At 46.6% G+C, this 24,027-nt stretch overlaps 1 protein-coding gene across 4 annotated transcripts in view, besides 1 other annotated feature; it reads right to left on the bottom strand.

Moving 5' to 3' along the window:
• ARHGEF4 (Rho guanine nucleotide exchange factor 4) overlaps nt 1-24,027 on the bottom strand; it is a 210,340-nt gene that overhangs the window by 151,647 nt on the left and 34,666 nt on the right. The window lies entirely within an intron of this gene.
• Nucleotides 13,620-14,121: an enhancer, noted in NCBI's record as "H3K4me1 hESC enhancer chr2:131639059-131639560 (GRCh37/hg19 assembly coordinates)". NCBI's record gives its function as "activates a minimal SCP1, AML or CMV promoter by ChIP-STARR-seq in naive H9 embryonic stem cells {active_cell/tissue: H9 hESC(naive)}" and the evidence as "EXISTENCE:reporter gene assay evidence [ECO:0000049][PMID:30033119]".

Here is a 24,027-nt window from a genome sequence, read left to right as displayed (position 1 = left end):
GATGCTCAGAATCACTAGTCATTAGGGAAATATACATGAAAACCACAATGAGAATTGCCAAAACCCAAAAAGCTGAGGATACCAAGTGAGGCAGGACACAGAGTGACTGGAGCCCTGCACTCAGCTGGTGGGAACATACTACCATGTGACCCAGCAATTCTGCTCCTAGATGTTTACCCAAAAAAGTGAAACCTATGTTCACACAAAGATTTGTAAGCAGATGCTCATAGCAGAGGCAGTCATGATAGACAAACTGGCCACAACCCAAATGCCCATGGTTGGTGTATGATAAACACATGGCAAGGAACCACGGGCCACCCCTCAGCCATGGAAAAGGAGTGGGCTGCTCACACTCACAACAGCATGGTGAGGTCTCAAGGCATGGTGCTACGTGAAAGCAGCCACACACCAAAGGCCACACACTGCACGATCTTATTTCCATAGGGCTCCAGAACCAAGGGAAACCTAGAGCGGTGAGTGGCGGAGCAATGGGCATTGGGCAGGGAGGGAGACTGACCAGGTAGGGAGCAGGGCAAGGGCTTTTTTAAATAATAGAAAAGTTCTTTTGATGATTGTGGGGATAGTTATGCAATTGTGAACATGTGTCAAACTCATCAAACTGTTCAGTTCAAAGTGAATTTTGCTGTATGTAAATTCAATCTACGTAAAGCCAATAAGGAAAAAAATATCCCTGATGTAATCTCCATAAGATAACCAGGAGAGGAGCCACAAAAGAAACTAATGGGGGAGGGCATGTCCCCTGAACAACTGCATAAGCCTGGCCATGCCTAGACTGCCTAGAGGATGGGGACTGCCCAACCTCCCGCCACAGGAGGAGAGGCCATGACAGGAGCCACAGACCAGGGACAGAGGAAGAAGGAGCAGAAAAATCCTGACTCATAGTATTGTTAAGGAGCCTCACTAGTTCTTCCTTTCCAAAAAAAAAAGTTGCTTTTTTAAAAAAGTAGAAAGGCAATAGATGTTTTGTTATGCAAGCAAACAAAAATGCAGAAGGATATGAAATAACAGTGAAATCTCCTCTCCACCCTTCCCTGCCCCAGTCCTGCCTCCGTGGCAGGACCACACCCTCGCCTGCACTGCTCCCATTTGGCAGGATTCCTGTCCAGGTGTCTCCGTGCTTGTTTACTGAGAAAGGGCCCAAAGCGACTACTGGATTTAGTCAGCAACCCAGGGGCTCTGAACTCTTCAACAGTCCTTGTCTTCTTGACGAAACCTCAAATCAAAGGTTCTCCCGGGCCCCTGTCAGTAGTGAACATCCCCCTCCTGACCATATATTTATGAACAGCAGGCAGTGGCTGTGGTCAGGCAGTGGTGAGGCCCATGAACATGGGTGAGCGCATCCAGAATATCTTCACCCTTCCTTCTGTGCTTCTGTTTAGTTCAGTGAAAACTTAGTTAAGGTCAATAAACAGCTTCTACAGAAAGCAATCATGTCCATGGCAAACTGGGGCTATGTCCACCACGTGAAACCCACAGACTCAGGTTCAAAATTCTGAAACTGTACCCACTGATAGCTGTACCCACAGATGATGTGCCGGTGCCTGCCTCGACCCCATCAGGGCGACGGCTGGCCCATCTCCTTCAGACCCTGGGGGAAGGGCAGGCCAGCCTGCAGGCTCCTTAGACGCATAATAGGACAATCTCAACTCCAAATTCACTCTCCATCTAGGTCTCACCAGGTCTTGTCTCTTCCCAGGCACAAGACCAGCCTGCCATCTTAGAAATCCTTGTGGCTCTTCTCGCCTGCTAAGTTTGGAGAGGGCCCCTGGGCATATGCAGTGACAAGAGCCTCCTTAGGCCCCTTCTGGCTGGGCTGATTCAAGGGGCAGGGGACTGGGACCACATCTGATCGATCAAAACAGAGGCTCAGGCTCTCCTCCTTGTTCAACTCCATTCTTGCTCTGTGGACTGTCCTGAAGGCAAAGTAGGGAAGAGTTTCTTGCCTGCCTCCCACCCTGCCCGGCCACGTGACTGAGGCACACGGAGCAGCTCAGACCACCTCAGCATCCCGGCACCTGCAGCCATGCTCGGCTCCCAGCACCGTGCCCCAACAAAGCAGAAAAGAGTCATGGCAGGCACAGGATCAAGGACTGGAAAACAGGCCAAGGCAGTTGACAGTCAGGTGGCATTTACTCATTCTCCATAATTCAAAGATTCATTCAAACATTGTTCATGGGACACCTACTGTGTGCCAGGTGCTGTGCTAGGTAATGAGGATATGGAGAAAAAAGGCCCCAGAGACAGCAGCACAGGACGGGGCTCAGACAAGGAGGCAGAGAGTAACACAGTTTCAGGGAACTCCCCTCCCAGGTGAGCCAGGGCAGGCAGGAGAGGCTCTCTAGAGACAGGGAGGCGGGGAACTGAACTTGGGAAGATGAGCAGAAAGAGAAGGTACAGTGGACAGAATACATGGTGCTAATTAAGCACGTGCTCGCAAGAGAAACCTAGCGTGAAACCACAGGTGGACGGTGTCCTGGGAATGACCAGGAAAGGTGAGATTAAGTCTTGACAGGCAGGCAGTAACCAGGTGCAGGGGCTTTGCACGCCACACTCAGCGGTCTGGCCTCAACCTGCAAGCCACTGCCTAGGATGCCACTGTCCCGTAAACAGGAAAGTAAACCAACGCCTTTCTGAGGGAGAGCCTCCTCTGGTGGGAGTGTGGAAACAGACATTCAGAAGGTGGGGACAGGGAAGCCCTTGTGGACCCCAGGCGTGGGAGAGTGGCTGCTGGAGGGGTGCCCCAAGCTGCACCCTGAATGGCAGCAGACCCTGCATAGCCACCAAGAGAAGGAGCTGGGAGTCCAGGAGAGGGGCCCAGGGACAGACATGCAGGGGTGAGCAGGGGTCTGTGTGTGGTTTGCTGGGGGCCAGGAGGGCTAACCTGGCTCTGGAATGGGCTCCACCCTGGCTGTGGGCTCCACCCTGGCTGTAGTCCTCAGCCTGCCAGTAGGCTCTGTGCCCTTGGGCAAGGGGTCTTAAGCAAATGAACTAGAAAGGGCTGTGGTCAGTGACCTTTGTTTTACACTTCAGGCGCAGGCTTGGTGAGGCCTGAGTCACAGCCATCCTAGCAAACTGTTGAACCCAGGAAGGGAGGTCATGGGACCCTGATTTATAACCAGTTGGTAAGAAGCGCAGGTCACAATCTAGGGCTTGTGATTGGGTCTGAAGTGGGGGCAGTCTTGTGGGATGGGCTCTTTAACTTGTAAGATGTGATGCTAACTACAGGTAGGTTGGGTCAGAAATGAGTTAAACTGCAGGACACCCAGTCGACGTCTACTGGAGAACTGCTTGTGTGAGGGAAACTCTCCACATCTGGTCGCAGAAGTGCTCTTTGTGCTCTGTCAGAGCTGCAAGACACAAACACTCTTCCTACTGAGCCTCAAGACCACTAGGTCAAGGCTGAGTGCTCTGAAGAGACAGTATTCAAATAAGCATTGTCACATTTACATCAATTCTCTTTAGATATTAACATAAGGCTGGTGCGGCAGCTCATGCCTGTAATCCCAGCTGAGGTAGGAGGAGCACTTGCACCCAGGAAACACAGCAAAACCCTGTCTCTATAAAATTTTTTAAAAATGAGAAAAAGAAAAAACATAAGCAGTTGGCAAACTGCATTCCATGAGCCAAATCCAGTTGCCACCTGTTTCTGTAAGCAAAGTTTTACTGGAACACAGCCATGCTCCTTCATCTGTGTATTATCGATGGCTGCTTTGGGTTCTGTGATGGACTGAATTGTACCCCCTCCTCCAACTCCTGTGTCAAAGCCCCAGTACCCAATGTGACTGCATTTGGAGACAGAGCCTTTAAGGAGGTAATGAAGGTTGTATGAGATCATAAGCATGAGGCCCTCATCTGATGGAACTGGTGTCCTGGTAAGAAGAGACGCCAGGGACGTGCATGCACAGAAGCAACATCATGTGAGGATGCAATCAGAAGGCGGCCGTCTGCAAGCCAAGAAGAGGGCCCTCACTAGAAACCAGCCCTGCCGGCAGATCTTGGATTTCCAGCTTTCAGAACTGTGAGCAAATAAATTTCTGTTATTTACACCACCCAGTTTGTGGTATTTAGTTGTTATGGCAGCTGAGCTGACTAAGACAGGCTACAATGGCAGAGTAGAGTAGCTGTGAATAGCCACACAGTCAGCAGAGCCTAAGGTACTTATTATCTGGCCCTTCACCGAAGTTTGCCAACCTGTGATCTAAATGTTCATAGCTAGATATTGGTAAACATTCAACAGGCAAATACAGCACAAGTGAGTTTAATTGTATTGCTATTTTAGCCAATTATTAATTATTAATATACATGTATATTTGCACCCCAGCTGTATACCCAGAACAGTGAATCATGCAGTCACTAAATATCTGCTTAATCTTGTCCTAGTCACTATAGTCACAGGGATGTATCAGAGACAGCCCCTGCCCTCGAGGAGCTCACAGTGAGTCAGAGACTTAAATCTTAGTTCCATAAAAGCTTCCTGTTCCACAATCAATGAGTCTGCCTCTTGTCTACATTGTGTGCTGTGGAGAGGGCTCTGTGAGGCAGAGATACACTCACTATAGATTCTAAGCAAGGATCAAAGCCTCTCTCTGCCTCAGAGGTCTCAGTTTCTCAGAGCTTCTACTTCAAGCTGAATTGAAGGAAGATGGTAGAAAAGAAGTAAGAGACCCACAGACAAGCATCTCTGTGTTCTTATCTCTTCGAGAGACATGATACCGCATGGCCCTGAGGATTAAAGGAGATAATAAATGCAAAGTGCCTCAAACGAAAACAAGTATGTTTACTATGTTTAAAAAAACAAAAGACAAGCTTAAGTATCTATAGGGAACAGGAAACTAGACAGAACTCCTAAAAATTAAAATTCCTAAAAATTTAAACTCCGATAAAAGGCTTAGAAACTCAATAGATAGCTTTAACGGCAAATCAGACACAGCCAAAGAGAAATTTAGTGAATTATAAGATAGGTTAAAAGAAATTTACAAAATATACCACAGAGAGGTAAAATGATGGAATTTTTTTTTTTTTTTTAAACGGAGTCTCGCTCTATCACCCAGGCTGGAGTGCAGTTGCGTGATCTTGGCTCACTGCAACCATAGCCTCCCGGTTTCAAGCAATTCTCCTGCCTCAGCCTCCCAAGTACCTGGGACTACAGGCACCCGCCACCACACCTGGTTAATTTTTGTATTTTTAGTAGAGACATGGTTTCACCATGTTGGTCAGGCTGGTCTTGAATTCCTGATCTCAAGTGATCCACCTGCCTTGGCTTCCCAAAGTGCTGGGATTACAGGTGTGAGCCACCATGCCCAGGCAAAATGATGAAAATTGTGTAAGAGAAGAGACAGGAAGGATATAAAGTGAGATGGTTTAATATCAGCTTAAACTGGAGTTCTCAAAGGAGAAGGAGAGAAGATGACAAAGACACAGTATCTGAAGAATTAATGGCTGACAATTTTGTAAAGAAGACATTCATATATTTTTAAGTCCAACAAATCTCAAGCTGAATAAGGAAAGTGGGAAATCCACCCCTAAACAAACCAGTGAAACCAAAAAACTCCAAAGAAGGGTGTGGAGGTATCTTAAATTCAGCCAGAGGAGGAAAAAATGCTATTATCAGTCTAACTTACAAAGAGTTAGACTGATAAGAGCATCAATAGGAGCCAGAAAACAGTAGAATGAAATCTCAATACGCTAAAAGGAAGTAGCAGCCAAACCAGAATTGCATATTTGCAGTGAAAATACCGTTCAATAGCAAGTACTTTTTTTTTTTTTTTTTTTTTGAGACGGAGTCTCACTCTGTCACCTGGGCTGGCGTGCAGTGGCTCGATCTTGGCTCACTGCAACCTCCGCCTCCCAGGTTCAAGTGATTCTCCTGCCTCAGCCTCCCGAGTAGCTGGGATTACAGATGCCCGCCACTACACCCAGCTAATTTTTTGTATTTTTAGTAGAGATGGGGTTTCACCATGTTGGCCAGGCTGGTCTCGAACTCACAACCTCATGATTCACCTGCCTTGGCCTCCCAAAGTGCTGGGATTACAGGTTTGAGCCACCACGCCCAGCCTGTAAGTACATTTAAGAAACAAAAAGCTGAGAAAATTCACCCACAGTAGCCTCTCACTAAGGCAAATCTAAAGGATGAATTTCAGACAGAAGGAGAGCAATCTTAGACGGAAGAAAGAATGAATAGCAAGGGAAGCAGTTAATAAGTGACTAAATAAATATGCACATGGGCTATATAAAATAACAATTAACATCTAGGACCATTTAAAAAAGAAAACACAGATGAGAAATACAAGACAAGAGTACTGCAGAAGTCAGTAAAAGTCTGAGGTTAAAATGTTCTGAGATCATTATATTACCCATGAGAAAGGTAAAGGAGTTTATTCACTGTATAATTTGGTAAGTTAAATACGTGTATTGTAAGTCTCGGACAATATTAACAAATAGAGACAGACGTATAATTTCTTTCTTTCTTTTTTTTTTTTTGAGATGGAGTTTTGTTCTTGTTGCCCAGGCCGGAGTGCAATGGCATGATCTCCGCTCACTGCAACCTCCGCCTCCCAGGTTCAAGCACTTCTCCAGCCTCAGCCTCCCGAGTAGCTGGGATTACAGATGCCTACCACCATGCCCGGCTAATTTTTTTTTGTATTTTTAGTAGAGACGGGGTTTCACCATGTTGGCCAGGCTGCTCTCGAGCTCCTGACCTCAGGTGATCCACCTGCCTCAGCCTCCCAGAGTGCTGGGATTACAGGCGTGAGCCACTGCGCCTGGCCGACAGACATATAATTTCTAAACAAGTAGAGGAAAATATTGTAATGTTTACCAAATTTAAAGGATTGAAATCATTCAGAATATGTTGTCTGATCCAATGCAGTTAAGCTAGAAATCAGTAGCAGAGGATCATCCCTAAGTATCTGGAAACAAAAGAACACTTTACAATAACCAATAGACTGAAGAAGGAAGATCAGTGGAAAACAGGTAATAGTTTCAACTAAATGACTTTAAAAATACCACAACCGAAAATTAGTGGGATGCAGATGAAACATTACTTAGGGGAACAATTTATAGCCTGAAATACTAGACTAGAAAGCCTCAGCATTAATAAGTTAAGCACTTTTTTTTTTTGGGACAGAGTCTCGCTCAGCCAGGCTGGAGTGCAATGGTGTGATCTCGGTTCACTGCAACCACCAACTCCGGTGTTCAGGTGATTCTCCTGCCTCAGACTCTCCAGTAGCTGGGATTACAGGCACCTGCCATCATGCCCGGCTAATTTTTGTATTTTAGTAGAGACGGGGTTTCACCACATTGGCCAGGCTGGTCTTGAACTGATCTCAGGTGATCCACCCGCCTTGGCCTCCCAAAGTGCTAGGATTACAGGCGTGAGCCACTGCGCCTGGCCTGCTAAGCATTTTTTTAAAGAAGTTAGAAGATAGAAAAATAGAAAATAAAGCCAAACCAAGTAAAAAGGAATACGGCAAAGCTAACAGCAACATTAATACAAAAGAAATTCAATATATAACAGAGAGGATCAACAAAGCCAATAGGTTTTTAAAAGATGAATAAAAATTATGGTAGAAGACCCTGGGAAGCTGCACACACCTGCCTCCTCCCATTTCCAGGCACACAGCATGATGCTGGTCCAGCTCTCCCTGACAGACCATGTCCCTGGACTCAGGTCTAGTCTATGAAATGTGAGCAAGAGTGACATTCGGCCCCAGCCCATGAAACCCTGCCGGCGTGGTCCTCCATCCTCCTTCCCAGCACAGTGGAGGCAAAGGACGCCGTCCTGGAGACCACATGGTGAGGACAGCCGGGCCAACCACAGAAATGGCCTGGGTTCCTGAACTGTCACTTGGAGGAAAGCTACTGCTGATTATAAAGGCTCATTCAGAGAAATAAACTGCTAAAATGGACACTTTTGTCATTTTGTTGTTGTTTTCAGAAACCAAGAACTCCTTAACGAATAAATTTACAAACCTCAAAAGATTGATCAAGGAAAAAGCAAACACATACGTAACTAGTAGAGGAATGAAAAAAAGTCGGTATCATGATGAATGTTGCAGACATTAAAAGACACTAATAAAAGGGTTTATGATAAAAATAGGTCAATTAATGTGAGCAGTTAGATGACATGGACAAATTCTCACAAAATTATAATTTAACAAAACTAGGCTTAATATTGTTAAGTGCCAGTTCTCCTCATATCTGATCTGCAGATTTGGTATAATCAAAATTCCAGCAGCCTTTTTGTTTTTTTTTTGGAGACAGGGTCTTGTTCTATCACCCAGGCTGGAGTGCAAGGGCATGATCATGGCTCATTGTAGCCTTGACCTCCTGGGCTCACACCATCCTCCTGCCTCAGCCTCCCAAGTAGCTGGGACTACAGACACATGCCACCATGCCCAGCTCCAGCAGGCTTTTTGTAGAAATTCTAATGTGATTCTAAAATTTATATAGAAATGCAAATATCTTAAGACTAGCTAAAACAACCTTTAAAAAGAAAAACAACATTGGGAAACTACACTGCCTGATTTCAAGACTTTTAAGACTATAAAGTGACAGTAATCAAGATAGTGTGACATTGGTGTAAGGATACTAACTAGATTAATGGAGCCAAATAGAGACCAGAAATTAATCCACATGAGCCTACAAATAGATTGCTTTGTTGGTGCCACAGTCATCACTGGGGAAAGGACAGTCTTTTCAACAAATGCTGCTGGACACACTGTATATCCATCTACAAAAAAAAAAATTACCAAAAGTGACTCAAGAAGAAATAGAAATTGTGACTACTTCAACAACCATTAAAGGAATTGAATTATTACTAATTTTTTTTCCCCAAAGGAAACTTCGTTAGCAAATTTTACCAGATATTGAAGGGATAAATCATCCAACCTTTTTTTTTTTTTTTGAGACAGAGTCTCGGTCTGCCACCCAGGCTGGAGTGCAGTGGCGCGATCTCGGCTCACTGCAAGCTCCACCTCCCGGGTTCCCGCCATTCTCCTGACTCAGCCTTCCAAGTAGCTGGGACTACAGGTGCCCGCCACCATGCCTGGCTAATTTTTTTTGTATTTTTAGTAGAGAAGGGGTTTCACCATGTTAGCCAGGATAGTCTCGATCTCCTGACCTCATGATCCGCCCACCTCAGCCTCCCAAAGTGCTGGGATTACAGGCATGAGCCACCATGCCCGGCCAAATCATCCAATCTTATAAAAATCTTTCAGAATTTTTTTTCAGAAAGTAACACTTGATTCATTTTATAAGGTTAATACCTCCTTGATCTTAAAACCTGGCAAAAAAAAACAGCAATGAGAAAGAAAAATTACAGACTAATCTCATCAGATACAGAAATCTAAAACAAAGCATCATCAAATCAAATCCATCAACATAGTAAGAATAAAATAAATAAGGGCCAAATTGGGTAAGCACCAAGGAGGCAAAGTTGATTAAATACAAGAAAACCAATGAATATAATTTCCCACAGTCACAGATTTAAAAGATATCTGAGCACACCAAGCAGTCCAGAAAGAAGAGCCTTGATAAAATTAAACATGTGATCACAACAGACTGGGAAGGGGTTTCCAGAGGCTTCTAGAGTGCTGGGTGTGAACAGTCTCTTGATTCACAGTGTGATTATGTGGGTATTTGCTTTGTAACTCTGTTAAACTCTACATGTCTCATGAAGTTATGAGTATATTAAATTACAAAATAAAAGAAGAAAAGGCCGGGCATGGTGGCTCACACCTGTAGTCCCATTACTTTGGGAGGCCGAGATGGGTGGATCACTAGGTCAGGAGTTCTGGACCAGCCTGGCCAACATGGTGAAACCCCATCTCTACTAAAAATACAAAAAAATTAGCCAGGCATGGTGGCGGGCGCCTGTAGTCCCAGCTGCTCGGGAGGCTGAGGCAGGAGAATCGCTTGAACCCAGGAGGCAGAGGTTGCAGTGAGCCGAGATTGCACAACTGCATTCCAGACTGGGCGACAGAGGGAGACTCCATCTAAAAAAAAAAAAAAAAAAAAAAAAGAATAAGAAAAAAGAGAGTGCTATGGTTTGAATATGCCCTCACCCCCCTCCACTACAAAAAGCATGTGTGGGAAACTTAGTTGCCATTGTAACAGTATTACGATGAGACCTTTAAGATGTGATTGGGCCACGAGGGTTCTTTCCTCTTGAATGAATTAATGCTATTATGTAGGCCGGGCGCGGTGGCTCACGCCTGTAATCCCAGCACATACTAAGCTAAAAACATGTTAGTTCTTTTGTCCTTTGCTTCCTGTTCAATTCATATCACCATAGGTTATGCAATCCTGTATTCAACCCTGTTGACTTTCCTCTTAACGTTGGACAAGACTGTCCCTCAGAGCAGGCTGTAATGCACAAGTAAACATGATTACAGTGCCTTCAAACATCTGACATATGCCCAAACTCAGAGCCACTCCAGTGAAGGGAGATGAGACAGTAGAAAGGCTAACAGTATTTGAGAGCTGACATGCATTAAACAGAAGTGATGTATACCAGGGAGAAAGGTGGAAGTATGGAGTAGATTAGTAATGGCATCATAAACTTGAATGCCTTCAAACTACGTACTTTCAAATATGGTACCTCTTTTCATTCTCTCCTATAGCCCTGTAAGGTAACAGATTTTGTCTTCATTTATTGATGAAGAAGCTGGAGGGGCCTAGAGAGGCCGAGCCTCTTCCTGGTTAGCACAGATCCTGAAGAGTCCTCAGCTTGTAATCATCACTGTTCTATGGCGTATGATTCCAGGAGGCAGCAGGGTCCGGCCTCAAGGGCCACCAGCAACATTCTGCTGGCCCTGGAAACAAAATAATGAGGGCCTGGCCCTTCAACAGTATTTCTCTAACTCTGCTGCCACTCAGGGGCAGTTCCATATATTGCTTTGTATCATGGTTACTTGTTATCGCTTTCTAAATGTTTTACTTCGTCCAGCAGAGGATGAACGCTCAGAACAGGTGTTGCAACTTGCCCTTTAGCCCTCAAAGTATTAAAAATCATGCCAGCCACCATATATCAGGTGCGCTGCTGCTAATAATGCCAGCTACCACTGTTGAGAGCTTTTTATTGTAATTACAGTCCTCTGAGATAGGCATTATAATCATCTTCATCTTACAAAACAATACACTGAGACATAGAGAATTTAAGCAGCTTCGACAATGTTACATAGCTAGAAAATGGCAAAACTAGTCATCTAACAAGTATAATCTGCTTCCAGGGTCTGTACTCTTTAACCATTAAACTATAGTGTGGGTGTGTGTGTGTGTGTGCACGTGCCTATGTGTGTCTGTGTGCATGCATGTGTGCACGTGTGTGTGCATGTGTATGCGTGTGTGTGTGTATAAATTGAGTTTCTGTGAATGCTCTCCTGCCTATTCAGATACTGTTACTGATAACATCTCCAGGCTCAGCTCATTTCCTGCCTCCTTCAAAAGCCTTCCAAACTATTTGGTGAAATCATTACACCCTTTTTGGAATTTCCACACACTTCTTGCCATCACAACATAAAATAACTTTGCATAAAATCAGTAGGAGGATATATAATGTTGACGATGATGTTGGTGATGACGATAGTTAATATTAATGGAGCACTTCATTATTCCATGAACTTTACATAAATTCACTCATTTAATGCTCAAGTACCCTGAAAAGATACCTATTATTCCATATTTTATAGATGAGGAGGCTGAAGCTCAGGAGGCTGAGGAATTCACACACAGTCACACAGATAGTGACAGACCCCAGTTTCCAGCCTAGGCCATCTGCCTGCAGACACCAGGAGGCAGGACACTGGTTTCCTAAGGCCTCTTGGAAGACCAGTGTGCCCACGGCTGCATCAGAGGGCACTCAACCCACGTGCCATCATTCACTGCAGCTCTGCCTGTCCCACCCACTGCCCCTGCAGACATGCGTGGGCCCTGCCCCTGGCTCTGTGACTGGGCCAGGTCCAGGCGACTCCATTCCTGCCTCTGGTTTCCCAGGTCCCAGCTACTAAGTCAACACCATGCAAGACATTTAGAAAAGTGTTGTAAATAACAGAACACAGTATTTTTAGTGGGGAAGGGAAGGAAAAGAAAGATGAAGAGAAGAGACATCTGAGAAGTCGATCTGTTTTTGAGTTGTGCTTTTTTATTCTGAAAAAAATTCTGAGCTTATACACACAGGGAACGGTGAGCACACTGCTCCGGCATTCCACAGAAGAGGGAGCTCTGGCACCCCAGGGACCTCAGGGCCCTGCCATCATTCAGGAAGGGGCTGCTCACCCAGCACACTCGGTCTCAGCAGGGAAGCAGGAAAACGGCCTGGCAGAGAGGCCCCATGCCCACTGGCCACCCTCTTAAGTCTGGTGTGAGAAGATGCTGTGGGTCCACCCAGTCAGTTCAACAAATCCTCACTGTCTGCCCACTACATCCGAGTACCGTCAGAGAGGGCACAGAGGTTCTGGCATCTCGCTCCTTGAAAAACCCTCAATTTCTCAATGGTATCCTGGAAAATAACTCATAGGGGTTAGAGGTAGAAAGGGGACAGGAGATGCATCACCACCAAAGGTGAGGAGGGGCAGTCAGCTATGAAACCTCAGGCAGAAAGGGGAGCCAGAAGTCTTTTTAAACAGACAGAAAAGAAATCAAAATAAAAACAGGAGCTAAAATGACAAAAAAGCAAACAACCTAGACAAGATGTCCAGCCCTATGTCCCTGTCCCTCGGGGGACTCAGCCCATTGTGGATGGGGAGGATCTGCTTGACGGGGTGCAAACTGAGACCCCCACCCTGGCCCTCCTGCCTGCACCCACAGACATTTCATTTTCTGCTTCTTTTAAATGAGAAAAATCTCCGAGAGAGGGTACGGGTGAAGTCCCCTGCGTCTGTGTTCGCACTAGTTTGTGGCACTTTGCTTTAGTCAGTAACCTCAGTGAGCAGAAACAGGGTTTGGACTTCAGGCTTGCAAAGGACTGAAGGCCTCTGTCCTTCCCCCAAGTTCATATGTTGAAATCCTAACTTCCAAGGTGAGGGTATTGAGAGGAGACTGTTGGGAGGTGGTTAGGTCATGAGGGTGTCGCCCTCATGAGTGGGATTAGTGCCTTTATGCAAAAAGCCACCGGAAAGCTCACTCACCCCTCCCACCACGTGGGGACACAGTGAGAAGGTGGCCTTCTGCAACCTGGAAGGGAGCCCTCCCTGGAACCTGACCACGGGCGTCCAGCCTTTAGACCTGGGGGAAATAGATGTCTGCTGTGTAAGCCACCCACCCAGCCAGCCCAAGCTGACTCAGACAAGGCCTGAGGGCTGGAAACAGGAAGGAACAGGCCCTCCTGGGCCCAGCCTAGCCATGGGCAACCACACCTGTTGCTTCCTAAATGATTTCCTCTCTGTCCAGGACCTGTTGAGACCCTTTCTCAAAGACGAACAAACAAACAGCCCCTACCTTTTGTGAAAGGAGCTGAGAATAGCTAAGACAATTGGGAAAGCGGGCTTGGGGATTTCTTTGCAGGTCTATCCCTGCTTGAGGCTGTCAGTGCCCAGGCTCGCTTCCTGTCCGGCCATTCTCAATGTCCTGTTCACACTGGTGTTTTGACTGCTGCACCCCAGCCCCTCTTGATTACCCCAAGCGCTGCCTGAGGCTCTGTGTCAACCACCCAGACTAGAGAGGGGGTACCTGTTTTGCCAGCCAGCTTGGCGTGGGCCTCCAACCACGCCCTTTTGGCCAAGGTGGTTCTCGTACACACCTGCTGCAACCAGACCAGTCACTCCCCGCCCAGTACACCAGCCTGTGGTCCTCACTGGCTGCACGTGGCATCACCATCTGCTCTGGATCGCCATCTCGCCCACGCAAGGGCCGCCCTCCAGGATGGTCCTCCAGCACTTCTGAGCCACAGTGAGCGCTCCCTCCTTACATCTCCCGAAGCATTCACTATAGCAAAACCTTGTACGTCTGCGGAGGATGGCCTCAGAAACAGCTCACGCACAGCTGTAGTCTCTTAGTGATGAACTCCCACCAGCAAGGGCAGAAGCCCAAGGTCTCAAGTCACTTGGCCCTTGAATGTCATATATTTGGACTGTGCCATCTACAACCGCTCTTACTACAGCTATGTACTGAGCCCTGGATCACACTCCTTAGCCCTTGAAGATTTTAGTTTCTGACTCACTGTCATCTCTCCCCCAACACTAATCTTACCCTAAACCTTGGCAATTTCAACATCCTGCCAGATAGTTCTTTGTCTCAAGCTCTGCGTTGAGTGCTTTACAAATAATGTCTCATTTGCAGGGCGCGGTGGCTCATGCCTGTAATCCCAGCACTTTGGAGTGGATCACCTAAGGTCAGGTGTTTGAGACAGCCTGACCAACATGGTGAAACCCATCTTTACTAAAGATACAAAAATTAGCCAGGCATGGTGGTGCACGTAGTCCCAGCTACTGGGCGGCAGAGACAGGAGAATCATTTGAACTCGGGAGGCAGAGGTTGTAGTGAGCCGAGATGGTGCCACTGTACCCCAGCCTGGGCAACAGAGCAAGACTCTGTCTCAACAACAACAACAACAACAAAAATAATGTTTCATTTAATCTTCACAAGAATCCATCTCTCAAAGAAGGAAAGAGATTTACAGAAAATATGCAATTTGCTGAATACCATACTGTTATTTAGCTGTAAAGCTAGGATTCAAACCACGCTGCTCATATTATGAGTCTATGTTCTTGACTCCTGTGCTGTGTTGCCTTCCATTATTTAAAAAAAAAAAAAAAATTTGGCCGGGTGCTCACACCTGTAATCCCAGCACTTTGGGAGGTTGAGGCAGGATGACTGCTTAAGCCCAGGAGTTCAAGATCAGCCTGGGCAGCATAGTGAAACCTTGTCTCCACAAAAAATTTAAAAATTAGCTGGATGCAGTGGCACACACCTATAGTCCCAACTAATCAGGGGGCTGGGGCAGGAGGATCATTTGAGTCCAGGAGCTCAAGGCTGCACTGAGCTATGATCTTGCCACTGCACTGCAGCCTCTGTGACGGACCGAAGCCCTTTTTCAAACAAAAACGAAAACCTACCTTTTGTGGAAGGAGCTGAGGACAGCTAAGACAAATGGGAAAGAGGGGCTGGGAATTCCTCTACACTTCTATCCCTGTCCCAGGTCTCCTTCCACATCTCCAATTCAAGCTACTCCTTCTATTATTAGTTAACAACTTTGATTATGTTGAAGCTGTGGGCATATGAGGACCCCTATCCTCTGGGAAGGCAGAGCTGGTTTTTCAGGCAGATGGACATGGGTACAAATCCCTGTTCCACCATCAGTCAGCTGGGTAACATCGGTAATGACACCACCTTCCTCAGCCTCCACTTCTGAGGCAGCAGGGGGTCGTGCAGAAGAGCACAGGCCATGGGATCAGCCCGCCTGGACCCAAGTCCCAGATCTCCGCCAGCTGTGACCCTGGGCAAATCAGTAAGTCTCAGGCTTCCCACCTGCCGAGAGGCTGCACAGGCTGTTGAGAGGAGTAAATGGCATCGCGTGCTTACAGCCTCCAAGCTCTGTGTGAGCGTGGTTCACAATGCCAAGACATGGACTCGACCCAAGGAAGGGCCATCAGTGGCAAACAAAGAGAGAAAACGTGGTATATACACACATGGAATATTATTCAGCCTTAAAAAGGAAGGACGTCATCTGTAGTCCCAGCTACTCAGGAGGCTGAGGCAGGAGAAGCCCTTGAGCCTAGATGTTCAAGGCTGCGGCGAGCTCAGGTTGTGCCACTGCACTCCAGTCTGGGAGACAGAGCGAGACCTTGTCTTAAAAAAATAAAAAAAATAAAAAAATAAAGAAGAAAATCCTGTCATTTGCAACAACATGGATGAACTTGGAGGCCATTACGCAAGTAAAATAAAGCAGATGTGGCAAGACAAATACTACATGATCACACTCAGATATGGAAGTTAAAAAATTCACCTCATAGAAACAAGGAGTGAAACGATGGTGACCAGGGGCTGGGGTGTGGGCATTGGGAAAGTGTTGGTCAAAAGACACAAAATTTCAGTTAGACAGGAGGAATAAGTTCAAGAGATCTATTGTATACCATGGTGACTATAGTTAATAATGATATATTATACTTGAAAATTACTAAAAGGGTAGATTTTGACAGTTCTCATCAAAAAAGCAAGTTATGAGAGGTAATGCATATGTTAGGTGGCTTGATTTCGCCATTCCACAATGTATACATATATCAAAACATCATGTTGTACACCATAAATATATATGATTTTTATCTGTCAATTTTTAAAGTAAAGAAAAAAATCTCCTGTAAAAGAGACATATCTTCCATACAGAAGAATTCCAAATTAATACATAATTAAAAAGATCTGCACACAATATTTGCTCAATAAGTTGCCTGACAGAATATGAAGATAAGTTAGTGTCCCTAAGCAACCAGTTCCTGGAAAATGTAGCTTCTTCTCTCACTCCCTCCCTCCTGGACTCATTACCATGGGCCCCTCCCACCTGTGCTGTGCTCAGCCATGCCTGCTTCTTTGCTCTTCCGTGGTGCTCCAACATGCCTCTGAGCCTCTGCCTGAGCCGTAGCCTCTACCTGGACATCCTTTCCTCTCCCATGTTGCCTTGCCTGGGCATCCATTAATGACCAATCCAAAAACTACTTCCTCTCTTATGTGTCCCCATGATGCCCAAAAAATGGCCAGGCACCTCTTTGTACTGCCAGAGTAATGTGTATGCCTCTGTTGTGAACACAATACATTACAGCTGCAAAGAACCCGTCAATATCTGGAGGATGGGGACCATATTTCATTTATCTTTGTGTCATTAGTCCCAACTGTGTTTCCTGGAATGCACTGAACTCCATTTAATTCGATTGAAAATGCAAAGGAATGAAGCCAACGTTGAGAGAGGCAATCACCGTGGCCCTGAGTATCCCTGCACATATGTGCTGGGAAAGCCAAGAATACACAGCCTGGTTCCATCCCTACTCATTGCTCAGGGTCGTGTTTGCAGCAAGCAACTATGAGGGATGAGGTAATGTCTCCTTCCAGAACAAAGAGCAGGCTTGCCATAAAGGAAGGGACTGTCCTCAGCTGTGATACAAACCCACTGCTCACACAGCATCCACTTGGGCCCTCTGTGCTGGCTCTGGCTCTCTGTCCTACAGAAGGCAGAAACTGTCACAAATAGGATGCTCTTTCTGGCCTGTGAGTAATAAAATCCTTTGTTTCTGACCCAGGAATCTCATGTCTTCTGACAGCATCCATGAAACAGTGACAGGATAATTTACTATCTCAAAGGCCAGCAAACTACAATTCGTGGACCAAATCTAGCCCATGATCTATTTTTGTACAGCCTGTGAGCTAAGAATGATTTTTGTGTTTTGAATGGGTTGTAAAAAAAAGATAAAGAATATATGACAGAGACCCTATACTGCCTACAAACCCTAAAGTATTTATGATTTCGCTCTTAAATTTTTGCCAACCCTTTATTATCTTTTAAGGAAAGTAAAGGTAATCTGAGTCTCTGACAATCCAACTCTCCATTTAACTTCCTGAGAGGAGGAGTGCCATCATCTCCTCCTAACGTTTCCATAGTACCAAGCACAGGGCTGGATACCGTACAAGGCTCAAACAAGACTAAAGCACCCCTTAATTTATTCAACACAGATTCAGTGCCTGGTGCTGTTTCAGGAACTGGTGATACACTGGTTAAAGCAAACAGTCAAAATCCCCAACCCCATGGCGCTGACATTCTAACAGAAGTGATGAATGATAAATAATTACATGTCAGATAGTGGTGAAAGGTGTGGAGAAAACAAAAAAGAATAAGGGAGATATGTTGTTCCAAGGTTTGGTTGGTTGGGGTGGATAGGGGTGGCTCATATTTTATGCAAGACAGAGAAGGACCCCTGAGAAGGTGGCATGATTATTTATATATTTATTCTTTTGAGACAGAGTCTCGGTCTGTCACCCAGGCTGCATTGCAGTGGTGCCATCATAGCTCACTGCAGCCTTGGCCTACTGGGTTCAAGCAATCCTTCCACCTCAGCCCCCCAAGCAGCTGGAACTAGAGGCATGTGCACCACCACGCACGGCTCCAGGAGGCATGACTGGGCAAGCCAATGCCTGTTTGGGATCGCTAAGCCTTAGAAGTCTGGCACTCTGGAGAAGTGAATGAAAAGCACATCCCATGATAACTATGTGAAGCAATGCATGTGTGAATTAGCTCAAGTTAGGCTTTCCACAACACATGCACATTTCAAAACATGTTGTGTACACTAAATATATACCATATTTATTCGTTAATTAAAATAATAAATCTTAAAATAAATGATTTTTTTTAAAAAAGCACATCCCCTCTCCACTTTCTGCCCCATGGTTCTCTAAGCTATGTACTCATTTGAGCTGGGCCTATTCTAGAACCCCTGCGTCCCCCTTACCCTGGGAGCACCGCTTCTACGCAGCTCCCTGTGAGCTGGAGGGCATGCACGGAGAGCGGGTTGGAGCCTGTGTGTTCTGAGGACCCCATCGCCACCATGGAGGGCTTCCTCATAATCTTACTTTGGCACTAAAAGCCCCAAGTTAGGAATCACTGTACCTAGACCCTTTTATTTTACTCTATCAAATACATACTAATTCTCTGCCCTGACACACATGACTGCATATATTCACACATATCTAAAAACGACAAATAAGATCCATATATTTGTAAGAGCTGCTGAGCCTTTACTTCAGGAGAAAGGACAACCCTGAAAGATCACACAGGCTTTGGGATCATCCAGAACTGGGTCCACATCCCACCTTCCCCTCTAGTTAGCTGGGCAAGTTACTTTAACTCTCTTAGATTTTGTTTGCTCATCTTTGAGTGGGAGCTAATAATACCTATCTCTTTGAAAAGATGATCATGGCTGGGCGCGGTGGCTCAAGCCTGTAATACCAGCACTTTGGGAGGCCGAGGCGGGCGGATCACAAGGTCAGGAGATCGAGACCATCCTGGCTAACATGGTGAAACCCCGTCTCTACTAAAAATACAAAAAAATTAGCCGAGTATGTTGGCGGGCCCCTGTAGTCCCAGCTACTCAGGAGGCTGAGGCAGGAGAATGGCGTGAACCGAGGAGGCGGAGCTTGCAGTGAGCCGAGATCGCGCCACTGCACTCCAGCCTGGGTGACAGAGACTCTGTCTCAAAGAAACAAACAAAAAAAAGATGCTCATACAAAGTACCTAGCACACAGTCAGTCCCACAGAAAGCGTTCTCTAAGTGCTGGCATTTCCATAAGCTAGGACCTGAGTCCTCCATCCACTCGGCAGCATTCATGCGGTGCTCCTACTGCCTGTCAGGCAGCGTCCTGTGATGCAGCCCCTCCAAACCCTAGGCCGCCTGTGCCCCCAGGAGGCTGTAGAGCAAGACAGACAGCAAACAAGCCATGGCAATCCAGGGTGACACATGGAGGGAATCACCTGCGGGGTGAGGACATGGGGAAAGCCTACCCTATGAGCGGCTGAACCAACTAGAAGGTAAGGTTCCTGGCTGGAGAAAAAGCTGACATTCCAGGTAGAGGTGACATGTTAGGGAAAGGCTGGAGGCATGTGCCACGCAGTGAAGCGGCGTGATGGGAGTTACAGAAAGAGAAAGAGAGCCAAAGAAGAATGGGCTGAAGTTAAATGGTCTTGTCTGCCACACTAGGGAAGCTGGATTGGTGTTAAAGACTGGCTTCCATATGGAGACATAACTAGAGTGGGCATGACTGGAGACCACAAAATATGTTAGGAGGCTGCCCAGAAGCAAGTGTGGGAGCCGGGAGGGAGAGAAATGAGACTGAGTTTGATCCACTTGCGGAATATCTTGGTAGGAGCTATGGGTTAAGTGTGTCCCTCAGAATTCATGCCTTGGAAATTTGATCCCCAGCATGGCAGTGTTGGGAGGTGGCGAAATCTAAGAGGTGATTTGATCATCGGGGGGATTAATGCTGCTCTAGAGGGACTAGGTTAATTCTCCTGGGAGTGAGTGAGTTCTTGCAGGACTGAATTAGTTGCCATGAGAGCTGGTTGTTAGAAAGTGGGGCCACACTTTCACAATTGCCTGCTTTCCCTTCCACTTCTCCACCAGCTGTTGATGCAGAAAGGGGCTCTCATCTGAAGCCAAGCAGACGTGGCTGTCTGATCTTGCACTTCCCAGCCTCCAGAACCATCAACCAAAATAAACCTTTTTAAAGATTACCCAGTCTCAGGTATTCAGTTATAGCAACAGAAAACTGACTCAGACAGTAGGTATCCAGGAGGTGGTCAGATGGAAAAGAGTGATATCGGGGCTGGAGACTGATGTGGGGCCATCGATCTGTAGATAAAGCCAAGCAATGCGCTAATCTAGAGTTTGTATGTGGAGGAACAAGAGAATAAGGCTGATGGAAAAGCCCTAAGGGACAGCCACAAGACAGAAGAAATAGAGCTCATGAGAGAAAAAGAATACAAAGGGAACAAGGGAGAAGGAAAATCAGAATATTTTCTAATTTTAAAGTCATCTTCCAGAGGAATGATGTCAGCAAAATAGCAGACTAGAGAACTCCAACAGAAACATCAAAAAACGAACCAGAGTTGCCAGAACCAACTTTGTAGGAGACCTGGAAAACAACCAAAGCTTATGGCAATTACATGCCATATGCACAACTTGGATGAGTCTCTAGAGAATAATGCTGAGCAAAGAAATTCAAACCCAAAATGGTACATACTATATGGATCCATTTTATACTATTCTTGAAATGAAAAAATTATAGAAATGGACCGCAGATCTGTGGGTTGTCAGCGGTGAAAGATGGGGAGGTGGCAGTGGTTATGAAAGAAGGGCATGACCAATGCTGTGGTGATGGCAATGTTCCATGTGGCTGTCCCTGTCAAGATTCTGGGTGTGAGACTGTGCTAAATTTTGCAAGATGCTACCAGTGGGGGGAACAGTAAAGGGTACATGATAGATCTCTGTATTATTTCTTAGAACTGCATGTGAGTCTATAATTATCTCCTTAAAAAGTTTAACTTAATTATGAAAGCAGTCGTATTCCCACTCACTAGCTGAGTCCTCAGAGTACCCTTTAAGGAATTTTGAGCAGACTTTGTTTATTTGTCATGTAAGAAAGAAAAGGTGCAGAGACATGATCCCTCCAAGGCCACACAGACAGAGGCGTGCTGAGCACACACCTTGTGGGCCTGAGGAGGGCCTGGCCATGTCAGCAGAATGACTTGGGAACAGAAGGCTCCTCAGCTCCCCACCAATGTGCTTCCACCAGGATTCCTGGGACCTGTTTTCCCAACACATGAGGAAGAAACAAGAGGATAAACTGTTGGTACAGCCGCCTTGTAGTTTGTCTACTGAAAAGGAGAAAGAACAGAATGCAACAGAACCACCAAACATCTGCAGGGACTGAGCCTCCGTTTTTGCTGATAGGGAGATCCCCCAGCGTGGGGTGAGTCGCTGGGGCAGAACAGTTGGTAAGCTGCTCGTAAAAAGGAGAGTTAAAAGCTACTTCTTTTAATTAGTGAAAGAAAAACCAGGGTTGAATTGAGGAATTGAGCTGCTGGGCCCAGGATGGCTAAGGCAGAGGCAGACAAAAACATCCACATCCCTCCTGAATCTGGAGAGCCAGCCAGTTTCAAAGCACCCAGGGCTTTCATCAACCCAGGAAAACGTTAGATGCAATCTATCCGGCAGGGGGCACCAAGGAACCCCAAACAGCTGTCACTTCCTGCAAAGCGGCCTGGATGAAATCAGATGGACCAGGGAACTTAGGGGTACCTGGAAATCCAAGACAGTATGGCCTGCACCAAACCCCACCCCTCCAAAGTGTTCATCACCCACCTAGCCCCAGGATCACTCGATCTGGCTTCTGAAAGGCAGCTTGGTATTCTAAAAAGAAGCCGCTAGCCACTAACTGGAATTAGACAGATGTCCTACTTAGTTCTGTCATTAGTTAGCTAAGTAAAAAGTGGGTCTTCTTTTCTTTTCCTTTTTTTTTTTTTTGAGATGGAGTTTCACTCCTGTCTCCCAGGCTGGAGTGCAATGGCGCAGTCTCGGCTCACTGCAACCTGCTTCCCAGGTTCAAGTGATTCTCCTGCCTCAGCCTCCCGAGTAGCTAGGATTACAGGTGCCCGCCACCATGCCCAGCTAATTTTTGTATTTTTAGTAGAGAAGAGGTTTCACCACGTTGGCCAGGCTGGTCTCGAACTCCTGATCTCAGGTGATCCACCCGCCTCGGCCTCCCAAAGTGCTAGGATTACAGGCGTGGCCACCGTGCCCGGCCTATTTTCTTCCTTCATAAGATGGGAGTAATGCTGATGACAGTATTTGTTGAACCTTTGCCACAGGCCAGCCTTATGACAACCATATGAGGTGTGCACTGTATCGCCATTTGACAGATAATGAAGACACAGCACAGACAGATCAAGTGGCTTTTCCCAGTCACACCAGCTAGGGAGTGGAGGGTTTGAATCCGGGCACTTTGGCTCCAGAGCCTGTGTGTGCCCATTCCCCTGGAGACTGGGGAAGGCAGCAAAAGAGCACGAGTGCCCACAGCCCTGCCTTGGCTGCCTGACTCAGAGGCTTGCTGCCTTGCAGCCTCTAAAGGTGTGCTCCACAGGCGAACACCCCAAGCCTCTGCATGCATGCCCCAGGTAGGCATGTGGATGGTGCAGGCATGTGTGTGCTGGGCCAGCTGCAGGCAGGGCTCAGGGCTGGCTCCACACAGGCAGGTGACCACGAGACCTGACCTCAGCCCCCAAAGTGCACCAAGGCCCCGTGAGGTGCTGCTGCTCCCAGCTGACACATACGGAGTTTGTGTCCTGGCCCATTCTTCTCCTCTGCTCCTTTGTATCGCCTCCCTTGCAACCCATAATCCCGAAACAACAGGGAAATTCTTCCCTCTGCTGAGGATCTGGCAGGAAAACAGTCTCCTTTCCAGTGACTTCTTTAGAAACCCCATTAAAAGACTTGCAGAAGTCAGACAAAAGAACTTGCCAGCAGTAAGATTTGCGATTGTACCCAGTGGTCACGGGGACGGGACACACAATTGGCGTGATTCAGCTCAAACGAGGAGGTGCGGAGGAGGGCTGGGGATGGCAGGAACCTAAGTCCCGGAAAGGGGCCTGGGCAGGGGGCCTGGGGGGACCCTGCTTTGGATAGAAGTACCTGGGGCTGCAGGAGCCACCAGGGCTGGGTTTCCCAAGACAGCCTCAATTTCAAACGTTCATCTGCCGTCAGTCGCATGCTCCTGGTGCCTTCTGGAGTCAGGGTAGGCTTTGCAACAGGGATCAGGATAGGGTCACGCCTGATGCTGGGCCCATGTCGCTCACACACCCTCTCTGCCAGCTCCCTGAAGCTTGAGCCCTGTGTTTTGATAACAAGCAGAGGAAGAGCTAATCCACTTTATCAACATGGCCAACTGCTAGAAATAGGCTTTAACTCATTTTTATAAGGCTAAGCCTATTTCCAGCAGAGGAAGGAGCTAACAGTTTATTCCCAGCTGGGCCGATTGCCTGCCCTGACCTGAACCGCGCTGCGGTGCTGCGAGGCCCTGTTGCTCCATTTTGCAGATGCACAGCTGGTGTTCTGCTAGGCTGAGTGCTCACCTGAGGCTCACAGCTGATAGGCATGTGCCAAGATCATCATGACGCTGGATAGGCTCCCACACCCACCCTGTTCCATGGATCTTTATTTGGGGGGAAGAATTAACCTCAAAACCAGGGAGATAAGGTCTCTCCATTTTTCCTTCTCCACTGGCAAGAGTTAAGAAAAAGTGCTTGATTTTTCATTAATGAGGGTTCAAAAGGTCTCCAGTGTAGGGGAGAGTGGACCTGAGTTTCCCAGGTTGCTGGCATGAAGCATCCCCTGAAATAGTGTCCACAGGATTTGGAAGACAACAAATGAAGGGATGAGTGATCAGATGATTTTGGAAATGCTATAAAGTTAGATTTTTTTTCCTAAAAATTTCTGAAAGCAGGTGTGTGTGTGTGTGTATGCATATATATATGTA

Source organism: Homo sapiens, chromosome 2 (assembly GCF_000001405.40).
Source record: "Homo sapiens chromosome 2, GRCh38.p14 Primary Assembly".
Taxonomy (NCBI): Eukaryota; Metazoa; Chordata; class Mammalia; order Primates; family Hominidae; genus Homo; species Homo sapiens.
The sequence above is the reverse complement of the archived record's forward strand: the minus strand, read 5'-3'. Positions and strand labels throughout refer to the sequence as shown.